Raw genomic sequence first — 24,722 nt, 5'->3', positions numbered from 1 at the left:
TTTGTAACTGAGCCTGTGGCTGAACCACATGCTCATAATATCTAGGCTGGCTAGCTTATGCCTAAAACATAGTCATTTCTGCTGGTGCTCTGGGAGAGCCTGATCTTTCCCTGATTTCATGACTACAGGATCCCTGTGCCACTGTTTTCAGTTCAGATGTTAAAGAATGTGTAAGAATGCACTCCTGGAAACCACTCCCCTTCAGGGGCAGATATATTAGGTCTCACTGCTGTGGAATGATCCCACTCCACTGACCACTTTATTGCTGTAAACAGTGAATAGGGAACTATCTCCCTTAGGTGACAAAGTGTGAAATGAATGATTGTCTCTTTAGAGGAGTAGTTGGAAGGATTTGTAATGATCAAGACTTAGAAGCAAAGATGGTCCCATCTGCTGAGGCTCCCCAGCTTCCCAGCAGCAGAACCCTAGAAAATCCTCCTGTGGCTGTTGAATCAAGGGAGATTAAGGCTACAAAAGGCAGTTCATGCCCAGAGCAGTAAATTAGGGTTTGTCTTTCCTAGGTTATTGGGTTTGGGTTTGGGTCTTTTGAGTATTGAAAAATTCATGCCCCCTTGAAAATCCAGTCCCAAAATTTATGGATGGGTTTCTGGGGGCCCATAGATACCAGGTTAGCATCCTCACTCTCTAAAATAAAAACCACAAATTTTCCCATCCCATAGGCAGCCTAGTAATTAAGGTGACCATGTGTCACAGTTTAGGCCTGTTGTCCAAGTGTGTCTGTTTAAAAGGTTTCCTTTAACTCTCAAATGTCCCCATTTGGATGATAAAATATATGGCTGAAGGCCACACTCATGGGTGCTCCAGAGTGATGCATAAATTAAACTTGCAGCCTCCCTCACTGATCCTCACTCAGCTCCAGAAAGCCCCAGAGACCAGAGATTACTCTTCAGCACAAACTCTCCTCTGAGAGTTCCTCATTCCTTCCTTTGGATGCCCTCTGAAGGGAGCCCTTGATGTGCATTTGAAATTGCTCCAGGGGTGGGAATGGGGATTAGGAGGAATTTGAGGGAGAGGGCCTTCTAGAGCCTGGGCGTGGGCAAGCTGGAGGAGCCAGCCATGAAGCCCAAGCATGATGAACACCACTGGCATTTCCTTGGAAGACTGTATTCCTCGGACTCCAGGTTTTCCCCACTTTCTTCCTGGCCAGCAGTTGCTGTGGCAACACAATGTCTGAGAACTTCTAATTACATCTGTCTGCTTCTCCTAGAACCCTACTGAGCCACACATATGGAGACTTCATTTAGCTTTGAGTTTCTTGCTGGGTTTTAACCCTGTCTGCATCCTTAGGCTAGAGAATAATTGCCAGGATGCTGGAACCTTAACTGCTTTGCAGCCACACTACCCCCAGAGATTCCCAGGACTTTGTCCCTGTTTTTTGTTGTTGTTGTTGTTGTTGTTGCTGTTTGTTTTTTGTCTGAGACAGAGTCTCACTCCGTTACCCAGGCTGGAGGACAGTGGTGCAATCTAGGCTCATTGCAACCTCTGCCTTCCAGGTTCAAGCGATTCTCGTGCCTCAGCCTCCAGAGTAGCTGGATTTACAGGTGCAAGTCACCACACCCAGCTAATTTTTGTATTTTTAATGGAGAGGGGGGTTTCACCATGTTGGCCAGGCTGGTCTCAAACTTCTGTCCTCAAGTGATCCACCTGCCTAGGCCTCCCAGAGGGCTGGGATTACAGGTATGAGCCACTGTGCCCGGCCTGTCCTTGTTTTTAAAGTGGAGACTGGTGCTACTTTGCTATGCTGGGTCTCCCAGATCCATTTTGTTTCAGTCAACCCTGACATCCCTACTATCCCCCCAGCCTCCACCATTGTATCAGATGGTCTCACCTCTTGGTTGGGCATCACAGTTCTTACTAATGTGCCCAATCCAAGGGGAGATAAACCACGTGGGCACACCTAAGGCTTTGCTGTCCCGGCAACTCGTGTTTCAGTGTATTCCAGCCCACTGCAAGGTCAGCCTAGTGGATGAGACAGAGGGGAGTAGTTAGAGATCCCCAGAATATTTTGGGAGTGGAGGAGGGGTAGAGCAAGGCAAGAAGCTTTTTTCCTGGTCTAGAAATGTTGGCCAGCCTGTCTCCCTCTACCTCAGAAGACAGTGTAAGGGCGGGGTTCCTCAGAAGAGTTCACGCAAAGCACTGGCCTCAGATAATAAGCCCATTTCCACAGTTTCTCCTGCCTTCTCACTTGCTTCTCTTCATCTCTACTTCCCCCTAGTATAGGCCCCCAAGGTATCAGGCAGCTCTTTGGCTGCCCCTACCCTATACTCAGAAATCTCACCCAATTTTGCTTTGCTCTGAGATACCCCACATTCCCACATTACCTTATCTTCCTCTTCACCAAATTCTCATTCTCTCAGCATGTCTCAGTTAGGTTAAATATTTAAACTGTGGACAAAGGAAATGACTGAAAGCCATTTTCGTCCTCCGTTGCTCTTCTACCTCATTAACACACATATGCATGCACACACATGCACAAACACACTCTTCAATGTCTTTCTGTGGGCCTAAGACAATCTCTAATTAGTGAAATTCCAGGCTGAATATATATGGCCTGGTGGTGGAGGGCAGGGTCTTTAGGGTATTTCCTCAAAGAAGACCAGTTCTGGGAGGGAGCAGCCCCAGGAAAGGAGTTGGCACAGGTGTTGTTCCTCTCTGTCCCTATCCCAAGTCCCCAGGGCAGTGTGGTTCAATCCACCTTTTTTTGCTTTCAACAAAGGTTAATGGAGTGGCACAAGGTATACTAGGTCCTACAAAAGGATGGACAAACAGAATCTTTGTCCTCTAGGAGCTTGTAGTTCAGCCAGAAAGACAAAATCCACACAGTCAGTTCTGTTTTTAAAAAAATAAATGATCAAAATGAGTTCATACAAAGAGGAATCAAAGTTCAGAGAAGGAAGGGGGAATTCATACCAGTAGAAAGTAAAAGGTCACTGAGGATGGAGTGGTGTAACTTGACCCAAGCCTTGAAGGACAGGGAGAATTTGGGCAAGCCAGACAACAAATCAGACTTCCCAGATGGTGACATTATTTTTTTAGGTGGTCTTGTGGGACATTCTCTGCCTATCTGAAGGTTAAAGAAGCATCTGACAATTCCTCATCATGCTGACATTTTCAAAGGCTAATGAGTTCTCATTTCAAAACATAGAGCCTTGGGAGCCCTAGACCCTTTTTTTAAATTTTAGTCCACTTACAGCTTAAATCTGCTGTGGCTACCTGCTCTGCTTACAGACACTTCCCAAAGCTTTCAGTATCCAGGGTCCCTAAGAAGTGGAGGGTTGCTCGAAGTGAGGAGCCCACAGATCTCGAGGCTACATGAACAATGAAGTCACCCAGGAGAGAGGAAAAACGCCCTGTGCCATATGCCAAAGACTTTGTTAACAGTGCCCAGGTAGAAGGCAGTAGGTGACAGTGTCGGGCATCCAACTCAGTGCCAGGGCATGTGGACCACCGTCGAGAATAGTGGCTTGGCTTGCAGGTTTAGGGGGAATCATGTGCAAATTGGGGTAATGGAAAGCAGCCACAGAAGTGATGGGGGTACTGTTCCAGCTCAGGGAAGCAAGCAAGCTCTCTGCCACAGTGGATTCTATTCCCAGCAGGTCTGTGGTATCAGGAACCACCCAGGGACTACTTAAATTCAGTGGCACCCAAGGCAAAAATGGGTGGAGTGGAGAACTAGATACCTCTTAGGCGATATCCATCTCATCTGCCTTCCACCATATCAGGGGAATAAATCCTACATTCCACTTGGAACTCCAAAGAATGCAAATCCTAATGGGTTCAGGGCTTGGGAAGCTGGGGGTGGGTGGAGGGTGGGCTTGCATGGGATGGAGGGATGGGAATGTGTAGGGATGTTGGCCCAGATGTGGCAGGCACTGCAGGGGATGCTTCTAAAACTGCCTGTCTTGAGAATTTTCCCACAGCTGCCCTAGAGCTTTCTCCCTTCTTTGATTTGAAGGTACTGGGATTTAGGTGTGTGGGAATTTTTTTTTTAAACTTTTGATCAACCATTTTCCTTGAACTACATGTGGAAATAATTAGAGCATGAATGCTGAGTAAATGTGAGCCCTGGCAGCCCCAGACATACTTCAGTGACAGGTTCTTGGCAGGAATGAAGAATTGTGAATCGCATGTGAATTTCCTTTAGCCTTTCTCTCCTTTCTTTTCTTCCCTTTTCTCCTTGCAAGGCAAATGCAAGTAGAATAAAAAATTTATTAATAGTATTCTAGGGGAGTAGAGGGTTCCACCCAGTTCACTAGAAACAAAATCAGGACACTCAATTGGGGTTCCATTACTGCTTCCCTGATTCCCTCTGCCATGATCTGGGAGGGAATGAAAAGGCATTGCTTATGAGAATCCTTTGACTATGAGAGCCAACTTTAATCCCCCCTTCAGAACCTAGCAACACCCTCATGTGACTGTATACATAACCACTTTCTTTAGTTTGGCCATTTAGGTTAGCTTCCTTGGGAGAGTGAAGTTTGATATTCAGGAACATCTGAAGTGGTAAATTCCTGAGCTTTCTAATTAATAGAATTCTTACAGCTTAAGGGACTTAGGCATCATCTATAACCTCTGCATTTTATAGCTGAGGAAACTGAGGCCCAGAGAGGTCAAGCACCTTGCCCCATGTCACACCATATGTTAGAGGCAGAGATATATCCAGGGCCCATTTCAGTCCTCCTGCATTAATTCTTCTTACACAGGACATCACTGCCTCTGCCTGGCTTACACTCCAGGTTACTAGTTCAGGTTTCAGCAGAAGTTTAAAAGCTTTTTTTTTTTTTTGGCTGTTTTATCCCGACATTTGCCAAATGATTTCTCTTACATGGCATTCATCATCCATTTCTGGGAGCTCTCTAGGCTTCCTGGTTTTCCTCCCAATTCTCTGAATGTTCCTACTCTACTCTCGGCTGCTTTGCTGTCAGAGTTCTCATACCATTGTGCAGGCTGTTGACTGCATGAGGAGGTGACAGGGGCTGAAATCCAAACTACACTCTGCTAGCCAAGCCCCATACCCTGGCCATGTGCTGCATCTCCTGGAGAGAAAGGTGCCTTTTCTGATTTGCACAGAGACCCCTTGTGGGCTGCTCTTCCTGCTGTCTGTGCTCCCCCTTTTCCTTCCACGCCCTAGCCGCCCTCGGCCTTCCATGCCCACCTTTTTCTCCTGAGCTCATTTGTTCCTCTGCCTCAATTTCTCACCCCTACACAGGTGACGCCCAGATATGCATCTTTAGCCAATATTGGCAGCTGTCGGTGGGATGTTTCACTGTCCTTGAGACGCGTCCATAACTGACTCATCATTGCCCACCCCACCCTCACGGGACACCTTTCCCAGACTTCATTTCTGATAGAGACACACAACCAACCCTCCAGGCCCTAGAAGCCAAAGATCTGGCAGCCCCCCAGACTCTCTCCTTCCTCTCTCTATTCAGGATGTTGCCAGACCTCGTTATTCTGTAGAGATCTCTCTTGGATCCCTTCCTTCTATAACCATGCCACCACTAGTGTAGATGCAACTGTCATCACCCCAGGCCTGTTCCAACTGATATCCTTCTGCCTGCCCCCAATTCCGCCTTACCCATTTCTTGCCATGTGCCACTGTTCAAATGTTTTTCTTAACACTCTCCTGCTCAAAAACCTATAGATTTTCCATCCACATCCTACCTTTCTTAAGAGCTCGGCTCAAGTCCCATCTCTTCTATGAAGTCCCATCTCCTGGAGTCGGCCCCATTACTTAGGACTGCATTGGCCTGTATTCTTGTTTCATCAGCTCAACTAGGTTAGACACTCCTGTGGTGGGGGCAGCCACATCCTCTGCTCCTTTTTGGGTTTTTTGTTGTTATTTTTAGAGACAGGGTCTCACTCTGTCACCCAGGCTGGAGTGCAGTGGCATGATCCTAGCTCACTGCAGCCTCAAACTCCTGGGCTCAAGCAATCTTCCCACCTCAGCCTCCCAAAGTGCTGGAATGACAGGCTTGAGCCACTGCACCCAGGCCTCCCTTTTGGGTTTATGCCACGGAGCTTGCGCCATGCTCATTACAGACCGTTCTCTTTTTTTGTTTTGCTGTTACAGGCATTCATCAAATAGCATTTTGATGGGTTTAAATCATTTTCCTTGGCCATTACTGAAGAAGACTGGAGGATTTATACTCTCTACATTGGCCTTCAAAGTGGACAAGTCTTAGGTAGACAATTGGAGAGGAGAAAATAAGAACCATATTCAAACCTAACAAGCTAATTCAGGGCAGATAAATGGTCTGTATTAGAAACTTCCACTTGGACTTTCCTAAGAAACCGAAGGGTGAAATTATGAAACTAGTGGCAGCCTTACAAAAACATTTTTTAGGAAGAGTGACAAGATATCTTGGGAACTCCTAAGAATCACTCTGAGGAGTGTTGCTTTCATAATGGGGAGCCCGAAAGACCCTGTCAGTAGCAGTGGAGTCACTGGGTGTTCCTGTGTTGAGAAGGCGGTGTGGTATGTCACAGGGGAGACTCTCCAACTCGTCACTGTGGACCATGAGAACAGAAGCACCTCTCTCAAGTACCGGAGTTGGAGCCACCTGGGTCTGACTCTTACCTCAGTCATGGCCCAGCTCTTGAAGTCACAGTCTCCTCAGTGCAAACAGGGATGAATCCCTGAGCCTCACAGATCTTTGTGAGATGATTTTCAGCCCTATATGAACAGGCCTAACATGTTTCTAACTCTGTAAGTGCTTACTATACTGCTATACTTCTGCTATGACTAGACAAGACCATTGCAGAACACAGGAACCGATCATTCTATAGAAACCAAGCATCTAGTGTGCTATGCTGTGTCTGGGCCACCTCAAGAAAGCTCTAAGCATAGGCAGCATGAGGCATTCCAGAGATGACATGTGAGCAGCAGTGAAGGAGAGAGGCTTCCGTGTGAAGGTGGCCTGAGCCAACCTAGATTCTTCAGTCTGAAAAGACACATAGAGAATGTGACAGAATCTGTAAAATAATAAAGAAAATGGTGGAGGTAAACATCACTGTCCCATTTGAAATTTGAATATAGTAATTTCCAGGCACACAATACGCAATGAGTAGTAAAAGGAACATGTTATATCCCATAAGCTGTGATAGAGGCTAAACATAGAAATTAATCAAAGGGTAATTAAATAATTCTTGATTGACCGGGCACAGTGGCTTAGGCTTGTAATCCCAGCACTTCGGAAGGCCGAGGCAGGTGGATCACTTGCAATCAGGAATTCGAGACCAGCCTGGCCAACATGGTGAAACCCCATCTCTACTAAAAATACAAAAATTGGCCAGGCATGGGGGCGTGTGCCTGTAATCTCAGCTACTGGGAAGGCTGAGGCAGGAGAATCGCTTGAACCCGGGAGGTGGAAGTTACAGTGAGCTGAGATTGTGCCACTGCACTCCAGCCTTGGCACCAGAGCGAGACTCCATCTCAAAAAAAAAAAAAATTATTGATTGACAGCTTCATAATAGATTTTTTTAAATCTTAAAGCTAATCTTCGTCAGGCGATATATCTCTTATCTGGATGTCATGGAGCCTGGCCATACTGACCCAAAAACATCCGAAGTGCCACTGTTGGCTGCTGCACTAACCTGAAGAGACTGTAAATGACATTTTAAAATAATTTTTGTTTATTTTTAAGCAGCTTTATTGAGATATCACTGACATATAAAAATTGCATATATTTAAGGTGTACAAATGTTTTAATGTTTTAATATTCATATATATGGTGAAATGTTCACCATAATCAAGCTAATTAACATATTCACTACCTCTACATAGTTACCATTTTGTGTGTGTGCATGTTGAGAAAATTTAATTTATGATCTATCCTCTTAGCAAATTAAAAGTATACAAACAGTATTATTAACTATCATCGCCATGCTGTACATTAGATCTCCAAAAATTACTCATCTTGCATAACCGAAACTTTGTACCCCCAAATGACATTTAATATACAAACCATTTGTTGAGCATTTTCTCAGGCAGTACACTGTGGTGGGTCTGGGGGAAGCTGAAGTGTGCAAGGCTCTTAGAGTCTACTTGAGATAAGCCATATGTGCATCAGATATTGAATAGGACTCTCTCTAATAGACTAAGGACCCAAAAGCCATTATTGGAAAGATTTTGTTTATGAAGAAAATAATAGGGCAAATGGGGAGTTGGATTACCATGAAGCTAATTAAGCTTTGATTTCAGACCTTTTATTTGCAAGGGTCTTGCAAGGCCATTTACCCAATTTGCATTTATAATTGTATATTTTTTTAGCCCTCCCTAAACCATTTAAGCTTGAGGCCCCACAAAACCAGGGTTTGGCCCTAGTGCATTAACCTTGAGATGAGGGACTGATTGTGAGCACATATAAGGAAGGGAAACTTATAGCAGGGACTGCACACATGCAGTGCCCCCTGCCACACACATCAGAACCACTGCTAGAAATCACCAGTCCCTCCTCCTCTGTCCATAGCATATGCAGGATGTACCAACACATTTCTTTCCAGAAAAAAAGAGAGACTTGAACAAGGTCATGAGATACTCCAGCAAGGTTTCAAGGTCCTGAAGCGGTTTTGCTCTTTCTCTCTGCTTTTCTCAGGCCTGTGCTACTGGGTTCCAGAAGAGCTGCCTGGGAGCAACCAGCATCTCACCCCATACGCCCCACTGCAGACCTCCCCCTGCTCTCCCCAGTTCTGTGAATTCCTTTGTCCCCAGCTCCATGGTATTCTGTGTATATCTGAGGGGCCCTGGTGTTCCTGTGAAGTTTCCATGACTAATTCTGGCAAAGCAAAGAGAGCCTTTCTCACGTCAACAAAGCCACTCTGTCGCAGAATAGTGGCAAGTAGAGCCAAAATTCCACCTTGGCATAAGTAGAGCTGTTCTTTTTTAAAAGAGTTGGAAGGAGGAAAAGAATGGAGGGGACAGAGCCGGCCCACTTCATGTTAGTGAAATGATGGTATATTAAACTGACAGTTTTATGGCTTTGCTTATAAGCTTCCTTTCCTGCCAAAGCACACTGTTCTTCCAGAAATTATTTTACTTCAGAAGACTTTTTTTTAAACATTCAACGTGTATTTTATGTTCAGACTTAATTCTGGTTGGCCCAGAGACTCAGATGCACGATCACCTCTACTGGTAGTTTTGCAAATAACTTGCTTCTCCATTTGCTTGCAAAGATCTTTTTTGATTGCAAAAATCATTTCCATTTTTTAAGACCTTGGATTCAAGACATTTCCTGGCTTTGATTTGTAAAGAGGTAGAGTGGTTTAGTGGAAAGAGGCTGGGATTAAAGTCTGGAGACCTAGGGCCAGGCCTCAATTCTACAACTGTGAGATCTTGGACCAGTCACATGTAGCTGTGAGCCTCAGTTTTATTTTCACCATAGGATCTTAAATCTAGAAGGGCCTCAGAGGTATCCCCTGCCTGCCTATCTAAAAAGAATCAAAAATGACAGTAAAATTACAGATCAACCAGAATTGCTGTGCAAGTATGAATATTGCCATTCAATGGCTGACCGTTGCTCAGATACTTTCTACCTAGTAAAAAGTCAGGAATGTTCCCAGTCTGTCTTCTACCAAAGGGAGTTTGCAATGTGAAAATTAATGAGACCAAATCTCCAGAGCTTGGCTTGCAACACACGAAATGAAAACAACACGGAGACTGGTCAGGAAGATGATGCAGAAGGATAAAGCTAGAAATCTGATGTTTCTCCATTGCAGGCAGATATTTTGCTGATTTTTATCAATATATCTGAGTGTCCACACTTCCAAAACACACCCTCTACCCCCACTCAAATCAATTACATTCTCACAGGTACATTTAGACTTATAGGTTCATACTTTTGTGATATTGGACCTGCCTGTGACCTCATACTCCTAGAAAACATCCATGTGCCAATGTGGTTATCTACGCATACATGAAGTCCTCATACTGCTTTGGGACCTCATTCCTAAAATCATTACAGTGGTAGAACAAACACTTCTATTTGCAAGAACTGCATTGTACCTTGTGACCTCACCCTGTGCCAGCCCTTGGAACTGTCCCCACTCCCCAAAGCTCACTGCCTTGATTGTACCCCAAGAGGGAACCTTGAGGCTCTGGAGTCAGACTGGCCTTTGTTCTATTCCTGAGTCAGCTCTCACTAGTTATGTGGCCTCCATGCGTCACAGAGCTTTCCTGACTCTCCGATGCCTCTGCATCTGTTACATGGGACTAAAAATACAGAGACCTGCACAGAGGTTGTGAGGACAGAGATATCTGCAGAGCCTCACTCAGCTGAAGGTGCTAAAATTAACATTGGCCCTGGGTCCTAGGCCCTTGTCATCCCCGACTAGATTACAGTCTTAAACCTGGCCGGTTTTCCTGCTTGCAGCCTCTCTCCATCCAGGCTGCCTTGCACTTTGAATCAGAATTTCAGAAAGGACCCAACACAAATTAACATTCCAAAGCACCATATCCATCATGTTACCTACCCAATCCCAAACCTTCCAAGGTTCTCACTTCTCATAGTCGCTGTGGAGAGCCCCTCAGGTCAGCCATCGAGCGCCACCCCTCTCCCCATCATCACCTGCCACCCTGCTTCATCTCCCTCTTCCTCACCACGAGAAGGGTTGAACCCATGAGCATGTTCAACCCCTCTCAAGGTGTTCTTTTCCCCCACTCAGAATCAGTTTCTCAGTAGATGGGTAAGACTACCCACCACCCTAAGCAACTTTCTAGGCACCTCGGGGATGCACCTGACACTCCCACTCCCAGAGAAGATGAGGCTTGGAGAAGAGCTTTCAATGGCACAAAGCCTATCTCTCTGGAGAAAATTTTCTTCATTGTTGATTTCTGCATCAAAGCATGCCTGTGAATGGGGATCACTGGGGAGGGCTATGAGGCTGCAGGTGAGACCTCCCCCACATTGGTAGATCCCCCTACCCATGTTTTTGGAGCAGCCACCCTATTCTTCCACCTCCTGCACCACTTCTTGTTCCGAGGACAGAGCTGGGTGGAGCTGCAGGAGCCAACACTGCGCTTCTGCATTGCAGTGCTGGGCTGTGCAAGACAGAGAGAGATTGCCACCTATTGACAGACGTGTCACCTGCAAAGAGGAATGATTGTGTAACTAGTGGCTCCCCCCTTCTCTGTGTGCTCTTCAAACGGGCCTTTTGTTTTTTCCATTCAGTGAGTCCTTCTGTTCTCTATTATCACTGCAGTGCAAGGGAGGACAGGGAAAAACGGGGACATGACAGCCCAAGGTGGTAGTGACAGCATCTCAGTGGGAAAGTTGTCTGAAAATAAATTGCCCACTGTAGTAATAGCCACTTTCAGTTGTGTGGCAGGCACTGTGCTGCCTGCAGTACATCCCGTTTAATCCTCACAACAACCCTCTAAGAATCAGTACTCCCAGTTTTCACGAGGAAGCTGAGGTTTAAAGAGAGCACCTGGCCCACGACCAGCAAGTAAGGAATAGAGGTGGGATGTGGGTAATTTAAACCTAAATCTCTGACGCACTCTTAACGCACATTCTCCCGACACTTGCTAATTATGCAACTCACACCCCCATCATAATTTCCTTACGTCATCTGGATATGAAAATAAATCAAATATAAACTGCTTTCCCTTTGGGCAGAATTCTAGCTCTGCCACTTTCTAGTTATTTAAGCCTCTGCTCTCTCACCTGTGAAATGGGGCTAGTAATGATGTCTAACTTAAGGAGTTATTGAAGAGCTTAAATCACATATAATAAAAATAGTAGGATGCCGGATATTTATAAATGGGAGTTTAGTTATCAGTGGTTGAAGATACGAGTTGGAATCCTAGCTCCTCTCATTTCTAGCTTTGGAAACTTGGGCAAGTTATCTGACCTTTCTGGTCTTCAATTTCCTCATCTATGGAATAGGGTTAATAATAATATACCTATTCTTGCAGGGTTTCCCTATAAGACAAAATCATGTGTATGAAAACATTTTGTAAATTGTACTATTCAAATATTAGTTGTTATAACTCAAAAGTTATCTGTTTCTTCAAATGGATTTTTGAGAACTATTCCTGAAAAATGACTTGGTTTAATTCAATCCGTTTTTAATACTTACTAAAAACAACAATGTAAGTTAAAAGGAGGTTCCATACATGCCACAGGCTTTTCTGCAAGTAGCTCTATAAGGCATTCCCATGAATAACAGGTTTCATATGCAGCTTGTTTTACAGTTGGTACTTCCACATGTATCTCACTGAATCTCCGCAGGGCAGGGTTGGCATTTACCCCTACTTTATAGATGAGGACATGTGAGCCTTAAAGAATGAAAATTACTAGTTAAGGACAGAGACTAGTGAGTGGAGGTTTGTGGGTGTTTGCCTGTGGAGCTGTGTGCGGGTGTCTTTGAGTGCAGGCATGTGTCTGAGCATGCTTTTTTATGCATTTGTGTGTCCATAACTCATGGGAACAACTCGTCAGCAAAAACCTTTTCCTCTTCCTTTTTCGTGTTGCCTTACATTGTCAGGCACAGTTTCCACAAGAGGGCCCTGCCTGGAGAATATCCTTGATTTTTATCTCCACTCTCTGTTTAGGAAAACAAAAGCTCTCCAATCCCCGCGGACTTCTGGGAATTACTTCCTCTTTCTTCCCCGCCTGCTAGCTTTCTTGAATTCGCCTTAGCAACATTCAAAAAAGAATTGGTTTATCAACAGCATGTGAACCAATGAAATGTGAGCTGAGAACGGCTTCTAGACCAATGGGAGCCCTGCATGACCAGCAAGCTGGCTTGGGACAGAAAATAATGACCTGGAGTTTGCAGAGCAGCCTCTGGGTGGCAGCAGACTAGCTGTATTGGATACAGCACCTCAGCTCGAAAGCCTCTTCTTTCTTTTTGCTTTTTTCCCCTAATCTTGAGTATAAAACATTCACCAACTATAAGAATTGTACTGTTACAAGACTTGTGGGTGTGAGTTCTCTGCATAATGTGGTAGACATGGCCTGGAGGGTGGACTGTCTGGTTCCATCCCTGCCTTACCCCAGCCAGCCCCATGACCCCATCGTGCCTCCTGCAGTCTTTGTTGGTTTTGTCACAGCATCTAGCCCAGTAGCCTTGAGTCTGGAGGTCTTTCGTGATTTTGCCTGCCCAGCCAGTCAGGATGAGAAGCTGGGGAAATCACATTCTCCTTCATGCAACCACCACTACCCCTGGGTTGAGTGGTGAATGAGGTGGGGCTGGCTTTCTGCCACCAGTGAATGGGAGGGAAGGGATGAGCCACCAACAGATCAGTGCCTGTCAATACCCCCACATTCTCAGGTGGCATACACTGAGACCATTCCCTGCCTTGTCAGTTCTGCTGCACACGTCTGAACAGGGGAATGCCTGACTAGCAAATGATTTGAGAATAGTTCTACTTTCAGGCAGCTTCGCCCTCTTAATCTTGAAGACAGTGGCAGACATGGGTAGGGGCTAAATGGGACCATAGCAAAAATAGCGAATCCACGTTTCCAATGGTTTAGCCATCCTTCTTTTGCCCTTTGAGATGATAATGCCTAGAACACCATTCAGTCAGGTTTGGGTCCTTCAGATAGTCATAGTTCTGTACAATGTTTCCATTTCTGCCTGACTTACTCCTCTCACCCTTTAAGAATCAGTTAAGACCTAGTATCTTCAGAAAGTATCCTTTGAAAAATTCTCACCCTCTTCCTCCCCTCCAGCTCCCTGGTGATCCTGTTCTTGCACTTCCTGTGTTGTTTTCCAAATGTCTCTTTCTTTGTGAGTTTCCTCTGAGAGTCATGGAGCTTCCTGAGGACAGGGTCTGTCCTTTGTATCTCCATCTCAGCGTAGTGTTGGCATAAAATTGGTGCTCAACAAGCATTTTTAGAAGAAAGGAAGCATGCAAGAAAGGAACTCTTGCTCTTTGAGAAACATATTAGGGACTCAGAAGTACCTGAACCTGGGCTGAAGCAGTATCTGGGAGTAGGGCACTAGCTGTTGGAGGCAACGTCTCCAACAGCTGTTTAAGACCCAACATCTAGCTGTTTAAGACCATGAGCCATGACTCCAGAGCAAAGCCCAAGCCTGAAAGATAATCTCATTATGGGCTCATTCCATAATGGGTTCATCTCAGTCACACGGTTTCCTTTATGATTGTATGTTTTAGGAAGAGCTAAGGAGCAAATCCAAGATCTGTGCCAATGTGTTTTGTGGAGCCGGCCGGGAATGTGCAGTCACAGAGAAAGGGGAACCCACCTGTCTCTGCATTGAGGTAAGTCCTGATGTCGGGAGCCAGAGGACAGTGGCCAAGGCCAATGTGGTACCTTGCGGAGCCACCCATCAGCAGGCAGTGCCAATGATTTCATTCTCTTTATAAAAGCATTCTTCATCCCCCTGAAAAACGTGGAATTCTTATTCCAGATTCCTGATTTTTAAAGCATGGATATTTTTTCTTTTAAAAAAATTTAGCTTTATAAGATTTTTTAATTAAAAAATAAGAATTGTTTTATATAAGTCAAATAGTACAGACATTTACACAAGCATAAAATTATAATCTTCCCCCATAACCCTTCAATCCCTTAGTCTGAAGTAACCAGCGTTAACAATTTGATACATGTTCCACATGTTTTTCTTTTCTATGTTACTATAAGCATAGGGTTTATATGCTACTGTAGACATAATGGTTCCCCCTATTTTATGCAAAAATGGGATCATGATATGGATATAGATATATACAGTTTGTATTCTTTACTCATTAATTTATCAGGGACAACCCTCTAGATCAGCACATATACTTTTAACTCATTTAACTCATTGTAGTGGCATAATGTTTAGTAATATAAAAGAACTAGATTTATTCAATCATTTTCCCATAGATGGACATTCAGTTGGTTCTTTGGGTTGTTTACCACTATAACCAATAACATCCTTGTGCAAATACCCTTATATGCCCCTGCCTTTATTTCTGTAGCATTGATTGACACCAGGGCTTGCTAGGTCAGAGGATATGCAAATTTTTAAAAACAGTAGATGAGATGCAGGGTTTTTTTTTTTTAATGTTTTTTTTTTTTTGAAAAACAAACATGAATATGTATTTATTCCATTGTATAAAAGCAATAATTTAGAAATTAAAAGAACGTTGCAGAGATCTCTAAATAGAGCTAAAGATTTTTTTTCTTTCTTTTTTTTTTAATTTATTTATTTTTTATTGATAATTCTTGGGTGTTTCTCACAGAGGGGGATTTGGCAGGGTCATAGGACAATAGTGGAGGGAAGGTCAGCAGATAAACAAGTGAACAAAGGTCTCTGGTTTTCCTAGGCAGAGGACCCTGCGGCCTTCCGCAGTGTTTGTGTCCCTGGGTACTTGAGATTAGGGAGTGGTGATGACTCTTAATGAGCATGCTGCCTTCAAGCGTCTGTTTAACAAAGCACATCTTGCACCGCCCTTAATCCATTTAACCCTGAGTGGACACAGCATATGTTTCAGAGAGCACAGGGTTGGGGGTAAGGTCACAGATCAACAGGATCCCAAGGCAGAAGAAGTTTTCTTAGTACAGAACAAAATGAAAAGTCTCCCATGTCTACTTCTTTCTACACAGACATGGCAACCATCCGATTTCTCAATCTTTTCCCCACCTTTCCCGCCTTTCTATTCCACAAAGCCGCCATTGTCATCCTGGCCCGTTCTCAATGAGCTGTTGGGCACACCTCCCAGACGGGGTGGTGGCCGGGCAGAGGGGCTCCTCACTTCCCAGTAGGGGCGGCCGGGCAGAGGCGCTCCCCACATCTCAGACGATGGGCGGCCGGGCAGAGACGCTCCTCACTTCCTAGATGTGATGGCGGCCGGGAAGAGGTGCTCCTCACTTCCTAGGTGGGATGGCGGCCGGGCAGAGACGCTTCTCACGTTCCAGACTGGGCAGCCAGGCAGAGGGGCTCCTCACATCCCAGACGATAGGCGGCCAGGCAGAGACGCTCCTCACTTCCCAGACGGGGTGGCAGCCAGGCAGAGGCTGCAATCTCGGCACTTTGGGAGGCCAAGGCAGGCGGCTGGGAGGTGGAGGTTGTAGCGAGCCGAGATCACGCCACTGCACTCCAGCCTGGGCACCATTGAGCACTGAGTGAACGAGACTCCGTCTGCAATCCCGGCACCTCGGGAGGCCGAGGCTGGCGGATCACTTGCGGTTAGGGGCTGGAGACCGGCCTGGCCAACACAGCGAAACCCCGTCTCCACCAAAACCAGTCAGGCATGGCGGCGCAAGCCTGCAATCGCAGGCACTGGGCAGGCTGAGTCAGGAGAATCAGGCAGGGAGGTTGCAGTGAGCCGAGATGGCAGCAGTACAGTCCAGCTTCGGCTCAACATGAGAGGGAGACCGTGGAAAGAGAGGGAGAGGGAGGGGGAGGGGGAGAGGGAGAGGGAGTTTTTTTTTTAATGTTTAAAAAACAAAGAGAGCCTTTGATAAATACTTCTTTTGTAGGCTGGATTCTGACAAGTTCTGCCACTAAAGTGAACATAAATACCTTGGACATTCTGTTTTCTGTCAAAACAACCCATAGCCTGGAAACACGTCTTTCTGCAAATTAAATACAACCAATTTAGTCCCCAGGTTAAGGATCCTGATTTGTTGCCCCAGAAAGGAAGTTTTCTAACTCAGAAACCTAAAAGCCAGATCCTACTGGGGATCCATTAGCTCTGGGAGGTCCTCACTGGCAGTGTACCTGGCCACAGTGTGGTGGCATAAGCCTGGACTTAGGATCTAGAAACCTGATCCTAAAAATTGTACAACTAGATGTGGGTGAGCTGAGACCAAACCTGAGGTCTCAGGAGATGCTGTGAAGACAGTGCCCACATTTGGTTTTGCCCGTTGCCCAGCACATAGTGAGCACTCCATAATAAATATTGGTTCACTGAAATTTGTGTTTTTGGTATCCTCAACTAAAACTGGAAAGGTTGGGCTGCCATCCACTTCCAGTGCTCTGTGCTTCTTTTTACCATCTGCTCTTTCTTGTTTCAGTTCCTTTCTTTATTGGATCTGAGCTAAATTTACTTCCTGCTTCTCCCCTTTAAAAACCATAGAAGTCCAAAGAAACTGAACTTGCCTGTGATCTTGGCACCTTCAGCAGCCAAAGCATAACCTAGTTGCCATATGAACTTTGTTCCATTTCCCTGTCCATAATGATTCTCTGTAGTACTTCACAAAGACCCAGGCAACCCTACTCCTAGCTTCACAACAAAGGCTTGAGATCAGGAGGAAAACAAAGTGTTCCCCCAATAGTATATACAGCAAGAGATCCTTACAGTTAGGCTGCAGAAGAATTGGAGTGTGTGTGTGTGTGTGTGTGTGTGTGTGTGTGTGTGCGCGCGCGCGCGCGCGCGCACATGTGTGTGTGTTTGCCTGCCTGCCTATCAGCCTCTCCACATTCCCAGCTCTCAGCTCTGGCTGTTTTGTGTCATTGAATGTTGGAATATTAAGGGATCTTAGATCTTCTGAGACATTAAATTACTTTTTCCAAAGTGACAGAGAATTCAAATTTCTGGCTTTTAATAAAACGCCCTTTCTGCTCATTTGATGTGGGGGGTGTCTTTGTTTGTTTGGGCTGCTATAACAAAATATCTGAGATTGGGTAATTAATAAATAATAAGAATTTAATTCTCACAGTTCTGGAGGCTGGGAAGTACAAGATTGAGGTGCAAGCAGATTTGATGTCTGGTGAGGGCCTGGTCTCTAACTTCCAAGATGGCACCTTGCATGTGGCATCCTCACATGGCAGAAGGCAGAAGGGCCAAAGGGCCAAATGCTGTAGGAAGACTGTTTTATTCACTTCTTAACCTCATCCACAAGGGAGGAGTCCTCATGACCTAATCACCTCCTAAAGGCCTCACCTCTTAATACTTTTGCATTGTGGATTAAGTATCAACATGAATTTTGGAGGGATCACAAACATTGAAACTATAGAGGGTGTCTCTTTCTTCACTGAATAGAAGAGATGACCCTGGACCAGGATAGGCATGAAGGGCCATAGGCAACTGAGACAGGGTCAGTTGGCCAGAACTGTGACTGCCTGTGCCCTGATGGGGTAGAAGCACCATCTCTGGTGGTGGAGAGTCCCCTTACAAAATGGCTCTGTGTGTGTGTGTGCATGTATGTGTGTGTGTGTGTCTGTGTGTCGATATCCATAACTGCACAAACATTCTCTTTTGGGTCTGTTTCAGCAATGCAAACCTCACAAGAGGCCTGTGTGTGGCAGTAATGGCAAGACCTACCTCAACCACTGTGAACTGCATCGAGATGCCTGCCTCACTGGATCCAAAATCCAGGTTGATTACGATGGACACTGCAAAGGTAAGGTGTGCTCTCACCACTGCAAGGCAGCTTTAGCCACGGGGAGCCAAGGAACAGAGCAGTGTGGCCTGGCTGACCACATGGTCTTTCCTCCACGACCACAGCCTCTCAAAGCTGTGGAAAGCGCCCAGTTGGTTGGAGTTGCATCCTCTTGTCACTTATGAGCCTGCTGGGTTTGCCCTGGATGGCCCAGGCCTCTGCCCAGGGTTTGCTATATCAGATCCCCATGGGGGTTTTCAGCACTGTCTGCAGCTGGATAGTAGATAGGGTGGACCCCATCAGTAAATCAGTAACAATAAGAAAGTTCCTTAAATGAATTATGTACCTTTTTAGAAAGTAGGTAAGTTTCACTTTTCCCATGCTTTTTAATTTGGGCACCTCTCAGTATTGTTTCCTCTATTTTGCACTGAAACCACTGCCATTAGAATAAGAAGGAAGAAGTCCCACACTTGTTGCTAATTAGATACCAGCCCCCTGCCAAGCCATAGCCCTGCCCAGCCCCTCTCAGCCTTGCCCTTCCTTGAAGAAACAAGAAGCTGTTTCCCAGGTGATTGTCTCCACTCCATTCCCTGTCCAGAATGATTCTCCATTTGAATTCTCAAAATCCCAGTGACCCCTCAATGCAACAGGAGGAGGTATGAGGCCAGAAGGGTAACTCAGTGGCCCTAAATTGTCAGACAAAGCAGGAGACAGAAGATCCTCATACCTGGGCCCTAGAAGAAGGAAAGGAAGGGAAAGGATTCAAGACAAAATGATGAAAAGGTTACAAACATTCCCCTACATGTAGAGCAGCTGTAATCCTAGAAATACAGAAAAATTTTCTTTTTTCCTTCACTTCGCATTACACGTTTTCTCTTTTTGTCTTGCAGAGAAGAAATCCGTAAGTCCATCTGCCAGCCCAGGTGAGTGCCTATTTTTTCTACTGTGTGCATCTCAGGGAGGACATTCTTTTCATGATAGAAATTTTGTGTTCCACAATCCCTGCCAAGCTCATAAGATCTTCTATGCATCAGAATTGTGTCCCAGAACTGGCCACTCCTCAACACAGCTCAGAAAAGCTGCAAAACTACATTTGTGTATGTGTTTGCCAATTGAAGCAGCTGGTTGGGTCAGAATGTTGGCTGTGTTTTCCCATTTTTCCTGAGTAGTGATTGAACTGCATAAACAGGAAAGCCACTGAGTTCATTTTTCAACATCCTATAAGACATGCTCGTGTCATGGGACCAGCAAATAGAAGGCACAACTCTTTTTGAAAGGGGATAACTGGAAATGCCAGTAAGACTTCTGTGGTTTTCTATTAGTGATCACTAAAATTTTATCATGATTTATAGTTACAGAGCTTTTTTGCACATACTTTCCTTAGATTCTCACGGTAGCCTTTGTGAAGTAGATCTTATTGTAATTACCATATAGATGAGGAAATTGAGGCTCAAAGAGGCTAAGTGAGTTTTCTATATCACACAGCTAGTAATTGGCAGACTGGGGAAGAACTCCCAGATTTTCATTCCCCTGGCCCAGTGCCCTTTTCACCCACAGCATGTGTTGTCTTCCAGGAATTCTCTTTTGCCAAAGCTTTCTCTCCTCTGCTTCCCCATCCACTCAACTCTCAGCACCCCCTGTTATTTCCAGTGGACAACAGCTGTCCAGAGCAGGGCTTCGACGTAGCCCTCACTGGCCTTCACATTCTGTTGTTCATAATAAAGGATGATGCAGGTGGTATACAGTTGTAAGTGGGGGGAAGTTTGGATGGACCTAGTTGGTGAGAAAGGGAGAAACTGGAGAAAATCAGAAATCTAGTAGCATAAAAACTGTAATATTCTCATTTATTCATGTATTATTTCAGCTCATCTTTGAGTCAAGAGAGCTGCTTTATTGATTTTTTCCCCTTCAGCTTCCTAAAGTTAATGAAAGTATCCTTTATTATTTTTCTGCTCTAGTTATTTCTCACATAAGCAGCAAAATCTCTCTGTTTCAATATTCTCAATCTTTACAAATATTTTAGAGATGGGTGCTTGAATCCTGGGCTAGACTTTTTCCAGTTGTGTACCCTGGATGTGCTAATCCTATCTCCCTGTGTTGCTGGGATGACATATGCAGAACCATGGGCACGGATGCTCCCACACAGTGGGTGCCAGATATCACTGGGGTCCTCCCCTGACTGCTCCAGCTGACATCCTCCACTTTCCTGCAGTTGTTTGCTATCAGTCCAACCGTGATGAGCTCCGACGTCGCATCATCCAGTGGCTGGAAGCTGAGATCATTCCAGATGGCTGGTTCTCTAAAGGCAGCAACTACAGTGAAATCCTAGACAAGTATTTTAAGGTAATCCAGAGGTAGGAGGAAGACTATTCAGGCCCATAGAAAGGGAAGCTTCCTCCTCCCATTGCCCGATCACACCTTCCCAGACCACAGGAAATGTAAACCTGCACAGACACCCTGAGTTTCCTCATCATAGATCATTCATGAAGCTGTGAAAGTTGCCTTCTGACCAGCTTGATCAGTGGGAGTAAGCAGTGGAGTCTTTGGGATCTAACACACATGTGCTGCTGCCTTCAGGCAGTGAAAGCCACAAAGGTCTTGGAGAACCTGTCAGTTAGGGCCAAGCTCTGTCCCCTACTCGCCATGACACCTTATGGATCTGGCTGTTAATACAAAATTCCCTCTGATTGCACCCAGACCTGGACCACTTTGGCCTCTTTCCTGCCTAGTTTGACATTTCTCTAAGTCATTAACTTGACTGCCAATGGCTTGGAGAGAGTCTTCATATGAGAAGAATCAATGGACTGGCATTTCATGGGTCCAGAGATTGTTCCTGAACTTAGATATTGCTGTTCCCAATCATAATTAGTTGAAGAGACAGAGTGTTCCACTTGGGAGCAGGAGAGATGCTATTTTCACAAAGAGAAATGAAGGAAGCTATAATATTTAGTGATGGCTCGGGTTATCATGCCATGCAGATCTTTCACAGAACTTGAGAGTTAGAAGAAGCAATTAAGGGCATTCTTACAGCTGATTGACAAGAACAGACACACACACAGGTACATCACACTCAGAATATCACACTCAGAAGCACAGAGAAGGACACACTTAAACTCAAAACATGCCAGACACGCACACACACACCACATACAGAGACTCACATGCCACACAGAGACACATCCTACATGCAGACACATTCAGATACCCACATTTCCATGCAAGCACCAAAGCCCTCTTCACTAGGTAGATGCCCCAGCCATCTACTCCCTCACATGCTTCCAGGGCCCAACCCAGCCAGGACTCAGGAGCAACTTCAGACACATGAAGGACTTTTCTTGGCAGCTCTGAGGCCACCTAATGTGGCCAATGCCAGTCTAGTCTGTGGATTTCTCTTTCTGACACTATAGAACCCGCAGATGAAGAAATACTGGGTTGGCTTCAAATGGATATTTGGTCATTTAAGACTTCACTTGTGTCATTTTTACATAGAGATTTCTCTCCTCTATGGCAGATACTAAATCTCTGGATTCCAAGTTTTTGAGATCATACCCAGATGAAAAAGCACAGCCTTTCTTGCTCTGTCCTCTCTCTCAATCACTCCCACATTACAGAGCCCTTAGAGGAAGAATGGTTCCTCTTCTACAGAAAAACACATCATAGTGCTGAGCCAGGAGACTTGGACAGGAACAGAAAGTAATGTAAAGAAAGTGACTGTTCAAAAGCTGAGCGAATGGTAAAGGTACCTGCAGGGCCTGCTGTGTGTGAGCAGTGACTTTGCCCTGCAATTACAGCATAGGAGGTGTGGGGCCCAGGACACTCCTTCCCAGGGGCCACTTAGGACGTTGTAACCATTTTTTAGTGGCCCTTTGATGGCACTCTGCCTCAGGCATCACTGACACCTGCTATTAGATTTGATTCCCAAGAACCTATGCCACATTCCCCTCAACACATCTCCATCTCCTCCAGCAGTAACTCACTTTTACAGGCTCCCTTCTGAAAGCTATAAGGCCCTTTGGGAAAGTAGCTCTTCTCTAGGACATTCTCACAACCAGGCATCTAAGAAAGCTTGATCATGACTGACAGACACAAAATCCCCTCTTCCCAGACACTCTGGCAGTGTCTAACAGGAGAAAACAGGTTTCATTTTCTACTTTTTGATGATTATCAGAGTCTTACATGCTGCTGTCTTCAAAGGGAGACTGCCTCCTCCTAGGTCAGCAGCTGCCTGTTGGTGAGAGGTCTGATATCTCAAAGAGACTGTTATGAACCAATGAAATGCTCCCCAGCCCAGCTGGCATTTCTTACATCAAAATTGTTCAAAAACCAAATTGAATTAGAATTTGAATAAGGCCAAAATCTGACTTTCACCATAACCAGTGATGTAGTCACTGTTTCTTAGGTGAAAGCGTAACAGAATGAAGAAAGAAAGACCCAGGTAGAAAGAGCCTTCCATGCTCTTGGAATTTGGAATCTAATCCATTCCTAATTTCATCTGGGTGTGATCTCAATCCCTGTGGCTCCTGATGGCCAGGGCTGACACTTGAGCCAGCCTTCTTATCTCCTTTACCCTGGCACCACAGCCCACACAGCCCCAGCTGCTGTGCACAAGCAAGTGCCTGTCTCAGCCCATCTCCTCTGAAGAGTCTCCAAACTTACATTGATAAGCCCCAAGAACAGATCTCATGACATACATCTTTTCTGCCTTTCCACAACCCTACAGTTAGATAGAGGAAAAGTTTTGTTACCTCAAATGCTGAAATCTGAAACTTTTTGAGCACCAACATGATGCCATAAGTGGAAAATTTCACACCTGAATTCATGTGATGGGTAGCATTCAAAACACAGTCAAAACTTTGTTTCATGCACAAAATGATTTAAACTATTGTATAAAATTACCTTCAGGCTATATGTGTAAGGTATATAGGAAACAGGGATGAATTTCATGTTTACATTTGGATCCCATCCCCAAGATATCTCATTATACATATTTAAACTTTCCAAAATCTGAAATCTGAAACACTTCTGGTCCCAAGCATTTCAGATAAGGGATAATCAACCTGTATAGAGCTGGGGAAAGAGGCACAGAGAGATATTATGTCTTTGTAACTGACTGGCTGAAGAGAGGCTCAATAAATTAGGTTGGTTCATGGTCCATGATTAGGACCTCACAGGCAGACCCCCCAGGCATTCCAGGCTATTTCTGGGGCAGGCACCAGAATTCTGTGTTCCTGTGGATTCTACATACAACTCTGGCCTGGGGAGGCCCAACTGGACCCTCATGAGTTGAGAAAGCACATGGGCTGGACCTTCCCCCAGCTGCAGGCCTTATTCTAGTCCTACTGAAGTGTGTGTACACAGCACTGCCTTTTGAGAGCTGCCTGGACTGTGGTTGCCAGGTTCATGGTGCCCACTTGGGCCATGTGGCACTGGGTCTGTAGCTAGTGCTGGACGTTTCCCCTCCCTACACTCATTCCATCATCAGGCCCTGATGACACTGGAGTCTTTGAGGGTTGCTGTCATTTACCCAGCACATGCAATATTTGAACTCAAGAAAGCCCTGTGCTACTAACAATGGCCCCCAGCCAAACTTATTTAATTATTTTCCATTAATTAATCAAGACTTCACAAGGTAAACAGGGAAGTTTCGTCAGGGAAAATTGTATAGTGAATAAAGGACATCAGAGACCTGTTCCTAGGAATTAGGACAAGAATGATAAGTACGTACTAAGCAAAGGCCTAATAGTTGTTTCATGCACACCTTCATTATACAACATTAGAGTGGAACACCTGTGACACATGGCAAGCAGGAGAGGAGAGTTGTTAGCTACATCTTCCCCTTCTATCTAGAAATTTGGATAGATGTTTCTTCCAGAATCCCTTGCACCATCTGGGGAGCCATCTTGAAAGTAACATGGGGAAGCTGATCCTTTCCCAGGGCAGCAGCATGAGGGAGCCTAGGGAAAGGATTTGGGAGGAAGGGGGAAAATGTTATTGAAATTTGTTAGGAGAGCAGCCATATGCAACTTGGAATTTGATCAGTCTTGATTTGACACCCTCCTCCTGCAGCTAGTGCCTGGGTGTCTTGAATGGTCCCAGATGGCTGAGGTCTCAGTTTAGCATCTTGCCATAGAGAACAGTGTGTGAGCTTACTGCACTCCTCACTTTGTGCTTGTGGGATGCCAGCTGGGTCATGAGGGCAGCCTGAGCTGGATGATCTGAGGACCTGTGCACACATCTGCAGTGGGGCCCACAGGGCAGAGGAGCGGGAACTTTGCATGATGACCCCTGTCTGTAGCTTATTGCTTTGAGGCCTTTGCCTGAGTTCTCACTGATGTGATCAGTTACGGGCACCAAAGTGAAAGTTAAGCACTGAGAACAGGACAAGGAGGCTGGAATCAAGCAACAAGATTTGGAATCCTATAATTC

General features: G+C 45.3%; 1 protein-coding gene, 1 long non-coding RNA gene and 1 pseudogene across 4 annotated transcripts in view, besides 2 other annotated features; 2 read left to right on the top strand and 1 right to left on the bottom strand.

Annotated features, from left to right (window-relative positions):
- LOC124900546 (uncharacterized) overlaps positions 1 to 12,934 on the top strand; it is a 33,418-nt gene extending 20,484 nt beyond the window's left edge. Inside the window, exon 2 of the long non-coding RNA XR_007096030.1 lies at positions 6,095 to 12,934. This is a non-coding gene — a long non-coding RNA (uncharacterized LOC124900546). The remainder of the gene's footprint in view (positions 1 to 6,094) is intronic.
- FSTL1 (follistatin like 1) overlaps positions 1 to 24,722 on the top strand; it is a 58,700-nt gene that overhangs the window by 20,822 nt on the left and 13,156 nt on the right. The window contains exons 3-6 of the mRNA NM_007085.5: positions 14,144 to 14,248; positions 18,188 to 18,317; positions 19,187 to 19,219; positions 20,509 to 20,639. Of these exons, the coding sequence (NP_009016.1) occupies positions 14,144 to 14,248; positions 18,188 to 18,317; positions 19,187 to 19,219; positions 20,509 to 20,639 (399 nt within the window). The remainder of the gene's footprint in view (positions 1 to 14,143; positions 14,249 to 18,187; positions 18,318 to 19,186; positions 19,220 to 20,508; positions 20,640 to 24,722) is intronic.
- The window catches only part of BTNL12P (butyrophilin like 12, pseudogene), a 73,965-nt pseudogene continuing 56,035 nt past the window's right edge, over positions 6,793 to 24,722 (bottom strand). The window contains exons 4-5 of one of the 2 annotated variants that reach the window (NR_187255.1): positions 14,233 to 14,370; positions 6,793 to 6,996 (exon numbers count right to left, since the gene is read on the bottom strand). The product of NR_187255.1 is annotated as a butyrophilin like 12, pseudogene, transcript variant 2 (transcript). Of the gene's footprint in view, positions 6,997 to 10,484; positions 11,106 to 14,232; positions 14,371 to 24,722 lie in introns of those variants that run through there. The other variant, NR_187254.1, reaches the window with a different exon arrangement.
- Positions 12,900 to 13,069: an enhancer, noted in NCBI's record as "active region_20333". NCBI's record gives its function as "activates an Ori minimal core promoter by ATAC-STARR-seq in GM12878 lymphoblastoid cells {active_cell/tissue: GM12878}" and the evidence as "EXISTENCE:reporter gene assay evidence [ECO:0000049][PMID:35858748]".
- Positions 15,802 to 16,484: an enhancer, noted in NCBI's record as "H3K27ac hESC enhancer chr3:120132534-120133216 (GRCh37/hg19 assembly coordinates)". NCBI's record gives its function as "activates a minimal SCP1, AML or CMV promoter by ChIP-STARR-seq in naive H9 embryonic stem cells {active_cell/tissue: H9 hESC(naive)}" and the evidence as "EXISTENCE:reporter gene assay evidence [ECO:0000049][PMID:30033119]".

Source organism: Homo sapiens, chromosome 3, assembly GCF_000001405.40.
Source record: "Homo sapiens chromosome 3, GRCh38.p14 Primary Assembly".
In the NCBI taxonomy this organism is placed as follows: domain Eukaryota; kingdom Metazoa; phylum Chordata; class Mammalia; order Primates; family Hominidae; genus Homo; species Homo sapiens.
Note: the sequence above shows the minus strand (reverse complement) of the source record. Positions and strands in the feature narration are given on the sequence as shown.